We start from the raw sequence: 13,708 nt of genomic DNA, 5'->3' as shown, positions 1-13,708 counted from the left end.
TTGGCCAGGCTGGTCTCCAACTCCTGACCTCAAGTGATCCGCTCACCTCAGCCTCCCAGGGTGCTGGGATTACAGGAGTGAGCTACTGTGCCCAGCCTATCTTTCTTGGGTTTTTTGGTTTGTTTGTTTTGTTTTGTTTTTGAGACAGGGTCTTGCTCTGTCACCCAGGCTGGAGTGCAGTGGCACAGTCACAGCTCACTGCAACCTCCACCTCCCAGGTTCAAGTGATTCTCCTGCCTCAGCTGGGAATATAGGCACCTGCCAACAAGCCCAACTAATTTTTGTATTTTGTTTTAGTACAGATGGGTTTCACCATGTTGGCAGGCTGGTCTTGAACTCCTGGTCTCAAGCGATCTGCCCACCTCACCCTCCCAAAGTGCTGGGATTACAGGCATGAGCCACCATGCCTGGCCTCTATCTTTCATTTTTAAAATTATTTTTCTTGACACAAGGTCTTGCTGTGTTGCCCAGGCTGTAGTGCAGTTCCATGATCATTGCTCACTGCAGTCTCCAACTCCTGGGCTCAAGCAATCCTCCCACCTAGCTTCTACAGGTGCATGCCACCATGCCTGGCTAATTAAAAAAAAAATTTTTGTAGACATGGAGTCTCACTATGTTGCCCAGGCTGTTCTCAAACTCATGAGCTCAAGTGATCCTCTAGCCTCGGCCTCCCAAAGTGTTGAGATTACAGGTGTGAGCCACCATGTCCAGCCTAGAATCTAATTTTAAATCATACCCTTTGAATTTTGTAGTTAGAAAGAATTACAAAGTGCTTTATTCCTCAAGCAATCACTTGAATTTCAGGCAGTATTTTCCTAGAGAATTAGCCTTTTAAAAATGATCTTCCCTTCCCCCACACAGCCTCACCTTTTCAGTATAGACCACATCAAATAAAATTGTGAATGTAAAAATGCTCGGCTGGTGGAGGAGGCTACCATCATAACCACCTTAGGACCTTCAGTAAACTATTTATTTTCTCCACTCTCCAAACCCAAGTCTTACTTTCCTTCATTCCAATTAAGAATATACAGAGATCCCAGGCACAGTGGCTCACACCTGTAATCCCAGCACTTGCAAGGCCAAGGCAGGAGGAGAATCAGTTGAGGCCATGAGTTAGAGACCAGCCTGGGCAACATAACAAGATGCCATCTCTATGAAAAATTTAAAAATTAGCCAGATGAGGTAGCACGTGCCTGTTGTCCTAGCTACCCAGGAGGCTGAAGTGGGAGGAGAGCTTGAGTCCAGGAGGCTGATCTTGCCACTGCACTCCAGCCTGGGCAACAGAGCAAGACCCTGTCTCTTAAAGAAAAATAAATAAATAAATAAATAAATAAATATATTATTTTATTTATATGTAAATGTATATTTATATAAATAGATTTATATATGTATATTTTATTTATATATTTATATTTTATATATGTATATTTTATTTATATGTATATTTATATATAATATACATATATAAATATACGTATTATATAATATATGTATATAAATATACATATATATACATTTATATATATAATAAATAAAAATATACATATATTTAATACATATATTTAATAAAAACATTAAATACATATATTTAATAAAAATATAATTTATATATAATATACATATATTTATATATAAATATATTTATATATAATATGCATATGTTTATTTTACATATATAAATATATTTATATATAAATATACGTATATTTATTTTATATATATATGTGTGTGTGTATATATATATATATACACACACACACGTATATACCCAGGGAGAGGCACTAATTGTGCAGTTTTGAAAAGTTTCCTAGTGATGCTGCCGTGGCCTACTTTCAAAGCACTATGCTTAGGTTTACCACTTAAAATGTTATTACATTTTTCCAGAAGTACACTTTAAAATACTTTGTTTTTAAAGTGAGGCATTACAATGGTGTCATGAGCTGACATTCCCAGCCACTGACTGGAAGATTTGGGTCAACCCAGGGAACAGGCTTGGTTTAAGGGAGTTCAAGTGTTGGTGGCCTTTGGGTAAAAGTTTATGTCTATCTTTGTATGTGGGATTCAGTAGGGATTTTCTTTAATGTTAAAAATTCTAGTTTCCTCTGTATTTGCTTTCCTTCTTCCCCTGTCCTCCCTGAGCCTCCACACATGTGTAACACATTTTATTTGCCAATAGGTCAAGGAGGTTAAAAAGACTTTGTCGGGCTTGGAAGTCAGCATGGTTACTGCAGTTCCCGGTAGGCTACCAGTCATGACCATGATTCCAGATGTTGACTGCCTGCTCTGGGCCATTGGGCGGGTCCCGAATACCAAGGACCTGAGTTTAAACAAACTGGTAAGCTGGCTTGGTCTGCCCGAAACATTTGTGAATCTACTAGGAGTCTTATGGTTTTATTTTCCCCCCAGACACCCAAAACTTGGGTGGATTCCATTGGATTCTTTTCTCTTTTTCCCATGTATTCAGTTTGTGATCAAATTTCATTGCTTCTTCCTTTGAAATTAAAAAAAAAAGTTTTCTCTTCTCTTCTTTCCTTTTCCTTTCTTTTCTGTTTTTGTTTTTTTCTTTTTGTTTTTGAGAAAGGTCTTGCTCTGTCACCCAGGCTGGAGTTCAGTGGTGTGATCATAGCTCACCGCAGTCTTAACCTCCTAGGCTCAAGTGATCCACCCACCTCAGCTTCTGGAGTAGATGGAACTATGTGTGTGCCACAATGCCCAGCTAATTTTTTTATTTTTATTTTTTTTAGAGATGAGGTTTCACCATGTTGCCCAGGCTGGTCTCCTCGGCTCAAGCGATTCGCCCATCTCAGCCTCCCAGAGTGCTGGGACTATAGGCATGTCCCAGCATGTCCCAGAAAAAGGCCGCCACGTCTGGCCTTTTTCTTTTTTGTTTTCTTTCCTTTTTTTTTTTTTTTTTTTTGAGACAGGGTCTTGCTTTGTCACCCAGGCTAGTGTACAGTGGCATGATCATAGCTCACTGCAGTCTTGAATTCCTGGGGTCAACTGATCCTTCTGCCTCAGCTTCCCAAGTAGCTGGAGCTACAGGAATGTGCCACCACACCTGGCTAATTTTTAAGTTTTCTGTAGAGATGGAGTCTTACTATGTTGCCCAGGCTGCTCTTGAACTCCTGGCCTCAAGTGATCCTTCCACCTCGGCCTCCCAAAGTGCTCGGATTATAAACATGAGCCTCCATGCCCAGCCGGCCTGCCACCTCTAACCTAGTTTCCTATTGGCCTCCCTCTTACAGACTTCGTTTTTGCTATGTGAATGTCTCTTTCAAGTCCTATGCTGATCTTTTAGCATCTGTAGTAGGTAATCCAGATTGCTGGGTGGGTAACTGTCTTGTACATTGTACACAGGGATGGGAACAGATGTGAAGCTGTCTCTCTTGGCTCTACCCGTGCTGTCTGTATTTGTGGACAGTTGGCATTCTTACTTGTTCTTTTAAATGTTGAAGTAAAATCTAGAATGGGAGCTTGGGGTTTGGTTCCCAGAGTTTGACCCAAATTTGAACCTTAGTTCTTACAACATAACAGTTGCATGGCTTTGAGCAAGCAGCTTAATTTCTCTGCTTCAAGTGGTTCATATTCACAATGGGAATGAAAAAAGTTCTTGCCTCATTGGGTTATACAGAAGAGTAAATGAAAAAGTGCATGCAAAGTAATTTATAACTGAGACCCTAGCTTACATTATGAACACAATGAATGTTCACCTGCTATTGATAATGATGATGATTTTTCTGATATGCTATACTACTCTATTAGTAATAATAGGATATTTTATGTTTGAGGTGCATATATTTATTTTGTTCTGGGTTTTTTTGTTTGTTTGTTTGTTTGTTTGTTTGTTTTGAGACAGAGTCTTGCCGTGTTGCCCAGGCTGGAGTACAGTGTTGTGATCTAGCTCACTGCAACCTCTGCCTCCTGGGTTCTAGCGATTCGCCTACCTCAGCCTCCCGAGTAGCTGGGATTCCAGGCGTGTACCACCACGCCCGTCGAATTTTTGTATTTTTTTAATAGAGACAGGATTTCACCATGTTGGCCAGGCTGGTCTCGAACTCCTGACCTCAGGTGATCCACCCACCGTGGCCTCTCAAAGTGCTGGGATTACAGGCGTAAGCCACTGCGCCCAGCCTGAGGCGTATATATTTGATAGAGCTGCTTGAGCAGTGTATACCTTTTGACTTATGTTCTAATACTAAGTTCCTGTTGTAATGTGGATTCCTTTTCTGTTTCTGTAAAAGGTCATTTTTCTGCATGTTAACTTATAAAATATTCAGGGAGATGTTTTGATTGTTTGTAATCTTATTCAATGACATTTAGTAAAATTAATTGCCTATTTTCATATTAACAAAACTAGTCAGCCAGGCGCCGTGGCTCACACCTGTAATCCCAGCTCTTTGGGAGGCTGAGGCGGGTGGATCACCTGAGGTCAGGAGTTCGAGACCAGCCTGGGCAACGTGGTGAAATGCCGTCTCTACTAATAATACAAAAATTAGCCAGGCATGGTGACGCATGCCTGTAATCCCAGCTACTTGGGAGGCTGAGGCAGGAGAATCGCTTGAACCCAGGAGGCTGAGGTTGCAGTGAGCCGAGATCACGCCATTGCACTCCAGCCCTGGCAACAAAAGCAAAACTCCGTCTCAAAAAAAAAAAACCAAAAAAAAACACCAAAAGAAAACAACAACAACAAAAAACTGGTCATTCAGCTTTTCACCTTTCAAGAGATATTTTGCCATTGTACAGATGTAAGCACTGATAGGTCCAGTTTTCAACTAAATTTGCTAACTTTTTTTGGGGGGGTTGGATAGGGTCTTGCTCTGTCACCTAGGCTGGAGTACAGTGGTGCCATCATGGCTCACTGCATCCTTGCAGCATCAAACTCCTGGGCTCAAGCCATCCTTCTACCTTAGTCTCCCAAGTAGTAGGAACTACAGGCGTGGTCCACCACACCTGGCTAATTTTTAAAAAAAATTTTTGTAGACACAAGGTCTCGCTGTATTACCCAGGCTAATTTTGAACTGGGCTCAAGCGATCCTTCCACCTCAGCTTCCCAAAGTGCTGGGATTACAGGCATGAGCCATTGCACCCAGCCTATATTTGCTAAATTTTTGAAGAATGAGGCAAAAAAAAAAGGTTCAGTCTCATTTGACATTAAGATATATTTATATAATGCAAATTGAGTGATTACTATGTGCTAGGTCTTGTCAACATGTTACTAATCTAATTTAATCTTGCCAACAACCGGCAAGGTATAAGGAAGCCAGGAGCACAGAGATACTAGATAATTTACTGGGCTGTAAACTCTATGGTGTAGGGAGAATGTCTGTCTTACCATGGTATTCTCAGTGATGAAGTCAAAGTCTCATTTGTAATAGAAGCTTAAATATTTGTTGATAAACAGGTGGTTATACAAGGTCTCATAACCGGTAAGTTGCAGAGCTAGGATTTGAATTTTGGTCTGTCTGTACCAAAGGTTGTACTCTTTTTTTTTTTTTTTTTTTTTTTTTTTTGAGGCAGAGTCTCTTTCTGTTGCCCAGGCTGGAGTCAGTGGTGCCATCTCAGCTTACTGCAATCTCCGCCCCCTGGGTTCAAGTGATTCTCCTGCCTCAGCTTCCCAAGTAGCTGGGACTTGCCAAGTAGGTGGGCATGCACCACCATGCCTGGCGAATTTTTAGTATTTTTAGTAGAGACAGGGTTTCACCATGTTGGCCAGGCTGGTCTCAAACTCCTGACCTCAGGTGATCCGCCCGCCTTGGCCTCCCGAAGTGCTAGGATTTACAGGCCTGAACCACTGCGCCTGGCCAGTTGTACTCTTAAGCTCTGTGGCTACTTACTTCCTACTTCTGCCATATCTCTACTTCTCATATATACTTAGGATTTGCAAAGCCACATGATAAGCATAACATGTCTTCTTAAAGCAAAAATTTGACTACATATAGGAAAATATTTTTGGTTAAGGGAAACATCAATATGTGTTTTTGTTTTGTTTTGCTTTTACTTTTCTTCTGGGAGTCTGAAAAAAACATCAGTATGTTTTAGAGTAGAGTGCAAAAGTTGCTTGGATTTTTAAAGACAAAATGGTAAGCTTCATAGAAATGTGCTTTTGGCCAGGCATGGTGGCTCACACCTGTAACCCCAGTGCTTTGGGAGACCTAGGCGTGAGGATCACTTGAGGCCAGAAGTTTGAGGTCAGCCTGGGAAACAGCAAGACCTATTCTATAAAAAAATGTTAAAAAGGCTAGGCGTGGTGGTTCACGCCTGTAATCCCAACACTCTGGGAGGCCGAGGCAGGTGGATCACGAGGTCAGGAGATCAAGACCATCCTGGCTAACATGGTGAAACCCCGTCTCTACTAAAAATACAAAAAAATTAGCTGGGTGTGGCGGCGGGCACCTGTAGTCCCAGCTACTCGGGAGGCTGAGGCAGGAGAATGGCGTGAACCTGGGAGGCAGAGCTTGCAGAGAGCCTAGATCGCGCCAGCCTGGGCGACAGAGCGAGACTCCATCTCAATAAATAAATAAATAAATAAATAAATAAATAAATAAATAAATAAATAAATAAATAAATGTATGTTAAAAAATTATCCAGGTGTGATGGCACATGCCTCTAGTTCTAGCTACTCGGGAGGCTAAGCAGGAGGATTGCTTAAGCCCAGGAGGTCAAGATTGCAGTGAGCCATGATCACACCACTGCACTCCAGCCTGGGTAACAGAGCGAGACCCTGTCTCTAAAAAAAAACTAAATAAACATAGATATGCTTTTGGTGACTGCTTGAGTCAGTGTTCCTCAGGAGCAGTGCTTCCATGGGACAAGTTGAAAAGCTGGACTCCAGAGGGATTCCAAGTGGCACACCTGATAGTTGAGTGATCCTCTTCATGTCTGCCTGGCCAGTTGAATTGTACATTGCAATGTCAAATCCTGTTAAAACATCTCAAAAGTGGATAAAATACTACCTTTTATGTTAAGCAAGATATGAAACTTGCCAACTTTTTTTTTTCTAATTTCTAACAGAGGCAGGGTCTCACTGTGTTGCCCAAGCTGATCTCAAACTCCTGGGCTTAAGGGATCCTCCCTCTTCGGCTTCTCAAAGTTCTGGGGTTACAGGTGTGGGCCCACTGTACCCAGCTTGAAACTTGCCAGCTGTAAATGCCTTTCGTGTTGCAGCTGAGTCTCATGGTTTCTTGGAGATTCTGGCTGCAGTTCCCATGTGAAATGAGGAAGGGAGATCCAGAGGTTTGATCTACCTTTTTTAGTAGGTGGGCCAAGTGGTTACATGATATCTCTTTGTAATTTTAGGGGATTCAAACCGATGACAAGGGTCATATCATCGTAGACGAATTCCAGAATACCAACGTCAAAGGCATCTATGCAGTTGGGGATGTATGTGGAAAAGCTCTTCTTACTCCAGGTAAGGTCTCTTCCCTTCTTGGTGAGGGAGGGTCTGCGTGTTACATGATCCATCTGGCTCTTCACTGTCAAATCTGCAGTCTGCTTAAGCAAAGTTAAAAGGATGAGTGTCTTTATATTGTCAAAATGGTACAATGTGTTGAAATAGATATTGGTTGGATACCTGACATTATCTGAATAAAAGACTTAAAATGCTTAGCACAGACTGAAGTTTTCATGTAGACAATATGATCACCCGTTGCGGAACTCTCTTAGGAGCAGACTTGTGCTTGGTGGCAGTGGAAGGAAGTGGCATTTGGAAGAAGTAATTTAGATTGGCATTTTTTTTTTTTTTGGAGACACTCTGTTACCCAGGCTGGAGTGCAGTGGCATGATCACGGGCTCACTGCAGTTTCAACCTTCCTGGGCTCAGGTGATCCTCCCACCTCAGACTCCCAAGTAGCTAGGATCACAGGTGCATTTTTTGTAGAGACAGGGTTTTACCATGTTGTCTTGAACCCCTGTGCTTAAGCAGACTGCCTGCCTCAGCCTCCCAGAATGTTAGGATTACAGGCATGAGCCACCACACATGGCCTAGATTGTCATTCTTGTATGACTGGTCTTGATACAACCAAGACTGATTTCCTTCTCTCCGGCATCCCACACCTCAGCCCGCTTCCTAAGCACCATTGCAAGCTCTGTCCCATCTCTATCCATTAATGATCACTTGATCTACTTTCAGTCTGTACCTAGAACCTCATCAGCGATTCCAGCGTGTCCCAGGGCCTTATATCAGGATGAAAACCTACACCAGTCACACACCCAAACCCTTTTAGCTCCTTTAGAAAGTTCTTGCTCTTGGCTAGGTGTGGTGGCTCCCATCACTTTCAGAGGCTGAAGTTGGGGGATCGCTTGAGTCTAGTAGTTTGAGACCAGGCTGGGCAACATAGTGAGATGTTGTCTGTATTAAAAAAATAAAGATTCAGCTGGGCACGGTGGCTCACGCCTGTAATCTCAGCACTTTGTGAGGCCGAGGTGGGCAGATCACGAGGTCCAGAGATCGAGACCTTCCTGACCAACATGGTGAAACCCCATCTCTGCTAAAAATACAAAAATTAGCTGGGCGTGGTGGCACACGCCTGTAGTCCCAGCTACTTGGGAGGCTGAGGCAGGAGAATTGCTTCAACCCGGGAGGCAGAGGTTGCAGCGAGCTGAGATGGCGCCACTGCTCTCCAGCCTGGCAACAAGAGCGAGACTCTGTCTAAAAAAAAAAAATAATAATATAATAATAATGATAATAATAATAAAGATTCTAGGCGCAGTGGCTCATGCCTGTAATTCCAGCACTTTAGGGTTATAAAATAGAACTAAAGATGCTGAAAACTAATATAGCTTGTTCCATAAATATTGTATTAAAAAGCTAATATCTTCATTAAGTAGATTAACTGCCAGGTAAGTGAGAACTTGTGAATGTGTCTTTTGGGAGTGGGGCCAGACAGGTTGAGCATCCCTTATCTGAAATGCTTGGGACCAGAAGTGTTTTCAGTTTCAGATTTTGGAATATTTGCATATATATAATGAGATATTTTGCAGATGCGACCCAAGTCGAAACACGGAATTCATTTGTTTTACATACACCTTATACACATAGTTGGTAGGTAACTTTATACGATATTTTAAATGTGTGCATGAGGCATACTTTTGTCTGCGTTTTTGACTGCAACCCTTCACATGAGGTCAGGTGTGGAATTTTCTGCTTGTGGCATCATGGTGCTCCAACATTTTGGATTTTGGATTTTGAATTTCTGGATTAGGGATGCTCAACCTGTAATAGAATGTATAGGATTCTCATAAGCCAATCATTTTGAGTTGTTCGCTGAGGCATGACATATCTTCGCTGTATTAAACTATCTAGATAGTGTAATGAACAATGGTGTGAAACTGTCAGAACTAGGGCATTAAGGTAGATGGATAAATGGCTAGTGGAACAATTTAGCTATGTTAAAACAGACAGTAAGATAAACACTGATTTTAAAATATCTCCATAGTTGCAATAGCTGCTGGCCGAAAACTTGCCCATCGACTTTTTGAATATAAGGAAGATTCCAAATTAGATTATAACAACATCCCAACTGTGGTCTTCAGCCACCCCCCTATTGGGACAGTGGGACTCACGGAAGGTAGGTATTTAAAAACTGAAGGTCATTTGTGGTTTCCTTCCTCTTTCCCCTGCCCCCAACTTTAAATTAGGTCTCTGTCAGCTGATGAAACCTATCTCAGCCCCAGATTACATTGCTTTTTGGTTACTCTCTTGTCACAGTTCCAGTTTTCTCCCCTGCTACTACTTTGAGTGTACAGTATCTTTCCTTCACACCACCCTATCTCTTTGATCTTTTTTTTTTAGCTTTTTTATTTGAACTAATTTTAAATTTAAAGAAAAGCTCTAAAAATAATACAAAGGACTCCTCTCTAACCTTAATATTTTTGCTTTTTTATTTTTTCACTCTACACACACACATGTCTATCTTTCCTAAGAACTGGCCCTTACATAAACCGAGTATCATTTTCTTTTTTTTTTTCTTTTTGAGACAAGCTCTCCCACTGTCACCCAGGCTGGAGTGCAGTGGCACGATCTCTGCTCACTGCAACCTCCGCCTCTGGGTTCAAGCAATTCTTCTGCCTCAGCCTCCCGAATAGCTGGGACTACCAGGCCTGCACCACCACCATGCCTGGCTAATTTTTTGTAGAGATGGGGTTTCACTGTGTTGCCCAGGCTGGTCTCAATCTCCTGGGCTCAAGCGATCCACCTGCCTCTGCCTCTCAAAGTGCAGGGATTACAGGCATGAGCCACTGTGCCTGGCCTTTCTTTTCATCTAGAGGCAGAATTCCTCAGCCCTTCTTTTGTCTTATATGACACTGACATTTATTTTGTAGAATACTTCTCATTTTGGCGTGGTTTGATATTTCCTCGTGGTTTGATTGAGGTTATGTATTTCTGGTCATCTCCCTCTTTGATAGTTCAGTGTAATTGTTTAGTTTTCTGATAGATGCTTTTTTTAATGTGCATTGTAGATGAAGCCATTCATAAATATGGAATAGAAAATGTGAAGACCTATTCAACGAGCTTTACCCCGATGTATCACGCAGTTACCAAAAGGAAAACAAAATGTGTGATGAAAATGGTCTGTGCTAACAAGGAAGAAAAGGTAAGGAAAAATCCAGCAAACTAAATAGTGCCTTGCAAAATGGACAGGGATGGCAGTATTTTGCAGGGGTGGAAAGGAGGGAGACCAAGCAGTTGAGCCTTCTGATTCAACTGGACAGGCCCACTTTGATCTGTCTTACCTGCATTTTGGGGTTCTTCATAATATTTCATCTAGAAGGAGGTTCCACTCCTTTTAAAAAATAAAGACGATGCCAGGCGTGGTGGCTCACACCTGTAATCCCAGCACGCTGGGAGGCCGAGGCAGGCATATCACCTGAGGTCAGGAGTTTGAGACTAGCCTGACCAACGTGGTGAAACCCTGTCTCTACTAAAAACACAAAAATTAGCCAGGCATGATGGTGCGTGCTTGTAATCCCAGCTACTCGGGAGGCTGAGGCAGGAGAATCACTTGAACCTGGGAGGCGGAGGTTGCAGTGAGCCAAGATCATGCTACTGCCCTCCAGCCTGGGAGACAAAGCGAGACTCCATCTCAAAGCAAAAAAAAAAAAAAAAAAAAAAAAAACAGGAGAGGCCAGGGCCAGGCGCTGTGGCTCACGCCTATAATCCTAACACTTTGGGAGGCCAAGGTAGGCGGATTGCCTGAGCTCAGGAGTTTGAGAGTAGCTTGGGCAGCATGGTGAAACCCCATCTCTACTAAAAATACAAAAATTGGCCGGGCATGGTGGTGCCATGAACATTCCTCAGTAGCCTATGATTTCTGGATATTGAATCATGAAGGCTCCTACTTAGTTATTTCTTCATGCCAGTTATCATTCATTCAGTTGATAAACATTATTTGTCATTCTTCTCAAGACTAAGAACTGCTATATAGAGAGGAATAATATGAAGAGCTGGCCATCACCAGAGGCTCTTTATAAGTTCAATTAAGATCACAATATCAGTCAGACACCGTGGCTCACCCCTGTAATCCCAGCACTTTGGGAGGCTGAGGTGGGTGGATCACTTGAGCCCAGGAGTTCAAGACCAGCCTGGCCAACATGGTGAAACCCTCTCTCTGCTAAAAATACAAAATTAGCCAGGCGTGGTGGTGCGCGCCTGTAATCCCAGCTACTCGGGAGGCTGAGGCAGGAGAATCACTTGAACCCGGGAGGTGGAGGTTGCAGCGAGCCGAGATCATGCCATTGCACTCCAGCCTGGGCAACAAGAGTGAAACTCCGTCTCAAAAAAAAAAAAAAAAGAAGAAAGAAAAGAAAATGTTTCTCTTCTTTTCCCAGGTGGTTGGGATCCATATGCAGGGACTTGGGTGTGATGAAATGCTGCAGGGTTTTGCTGTTGCAGTGAAGATGGGAGCAACGAAGGCAGACTTTGACAACACAGTCGCCATTCACCCTACCTCTTCAGAAGAGCTGGTCACACTTCGTTGAGAACCAGGAGACACGTGTGGCGGGCAGTGGGACCCATAGATCTTCTGAAATGAAACAAATAATCACATTGACTTACTGTTTGAGTTTTATGTATTTCTTTATTTTAATCAGGATCTTCTGATAGTGGAAATTTTTAGTACATAATAGAACTTATTTATGGAGTTAGAAATTTGTAGTGTTATCCAGGATTGATTTTCATTTGATCACATCTCACAGTAATTAATATTTTCAAGTTTTTTTTTTATTAACAGCTCTGTGCTAGTTTTTTTTTTCTGTTTTAGCCTCATCCCAAATATAAAGCTTTGTGAAGTACAATTAACTTAATGTACTTGAATGAATAGAACTTGCTACTTTTTTTTTTTTTTTTTTTGAGACAGAGTTTTGCTCTCATTGCCCAGGCTGGAGTGCGGTGGTGCTATTTCAGCTCACCACAACCTCTGCCTCCTGGGTTCAAGTGATTCTCCTGCCTTAGCCTCCCGAATAGCTGGAATTACAGGCACGCACCACCATGCCTGACTAATTTTGTATTTTTAGTAGACATGGGGTTTCTCCATGTTGGTCAGGCTGGTCTCAAACTCCCACCTTCAGGTGATCCGCCCACCTCGGCCTCCTGAGGTGCTGAGATTACAGGCGTGAGCCACTGTGCCAGCTTGCTAATTTTCACAGAAGTTGATGGCAATTCTTCACATGTAAACAGTGCCAGTGCACAGAACCTTTATATATTTTTTGAAGCCAGTACTGTGCTCTGCATATAACAAAGCTGCTTCAAGGATGAGACCTTTTTCTAAAAGCATGTAATGTGAGAAGCCGGCCTGCCTTATTTTCTTTTTTCTTTTTTAATGATTAAAAATAGTTTGTGGCAAGGCACGGTGGCTCAGGCCTGTAATTCTAGCACTTTGGGAGGCCGAGGCAGGAGGATTACTTGAGCCTACAAGTTTGAGGCCAGCATGCACAGCATAGCAAGACTGCATCTCTACAGAGAGTAAAAAAAATTACCCGAGTGTGGTGATGTGCATCTGTAATCTCAGCTACTTGGGAGGCTGAGGTGAGAGGATCACTTGAGCTTGGGTGAGGTGAGGCTGCAGTGAGTCCTGATCATGCTGCTGCACTCAATCTTGGACAACAGAGCAAGACCCTGTCTCAAAAAAAAAAAAAAAAAATATATATATATATATATATTATTTTTATGAGGTGAAGTGCATCAAACTTGGGAAAGATTTGAGGAGGCTGGGAACCTCCTGGAAAACCACTCCTTGAAGAAAGATATGAGAGACATTTAGAAGTGATTCCTGCTTTCAGAAGGAGGTGGATTCAAATACATCAAAAGTCCCTTCCTCTGCTAAGTGTTTATAGTTCAATGAATAATTTCAATATTTGTATGTGTTCTTGTCATTTTATTTTTTTCTGAAAAACTTCCAAAAATTTGAAAATAAAATTACAGCCTTTTCTTCTTATAAAATTTGTTACTGTGAGCTTTAATTGGTACACAGGAAATTGGTTTATTTTCTAAGGATATTTCACATTGGAGAATCAGTTGCCTGTGCTTACGGGGGTGAAAAGAGAGTTCTCGTATAAAAATAAAGATCGAAGGTATAAAAGAAACATTTAGCAGATTAATGATTGAGTTGGAAGAAAAGCCTAGAAATCACTTAGGTCTTTAACACTTTATTTCTATTAGGTTTTACCAGCTAGTTAAATTTTTCCAGGATTTTCATTAGTCATCCAGTGTTAC

The 13,708-nt window shown here is 42.0% G+C and overlaps 1 protein-coding gene across 6 annotated transcripts in view; it reads left to right on the top strand.

Annotated features, from left to right (window-relative positions):
* The window catches only part of GSR (glutathione-disulfide reductase), a 49,781-nt gene extending 36,351 nt beyond the window's left edge, over positions 1 to 13,430 (top strand). For 4 of the 6 annotated variants that reach the window (NM_001195102.3, NM_000637.5, XM_047421727.1 and 1 more), the window contains 5 exons: positions 2,177 to 2,335; positions 7,297 to 7,408; positions 9,435 to 9,566; positions 10,459 to 10,592; positions 11,827 to 13,430. In NM_001195102.3, the coding sequence (NP_001182031.1) occupies positions 2,177 to 2,335; positions 7,297 to 7,408; positions 9,435 to 9,566; positions 10,459 to 10,592; positions 11,827 to 11,976 (687 nt within the window). In that variant the 3' untranslated portion in view covers positions 11,977 to 13,430. The remainder of the gene's footprint in view (positions 1 to 2,176; positions 2,336 to 7,296; positions 7,409 to 9,434; positions 9,567 to 10,458; positions 10,593 to 11,826) is intronic. The other 2 variants (NM_001195104.3, NM_001195103.3) reach the window with 1 other exon arrangement.

The sequence above is a fragment of the Homo sapiens genome, chromosome 8 (assembly GCF_000001405.40).
Source record: "Homo sapiens chromosome 8, GRCh38.p14 Primary Assembly".
Taxonomy (NCBI): Eukaryota; Metazoa; Chordata; class Mammalia; order Primates; family Hominidae; genus Homo; species Homo sapiens.
The sequence above is the reverse complement of the archived record's forward strand: the minus strand, read 5'-3'. Positions and strand labels throughout refer to the sequence as shown.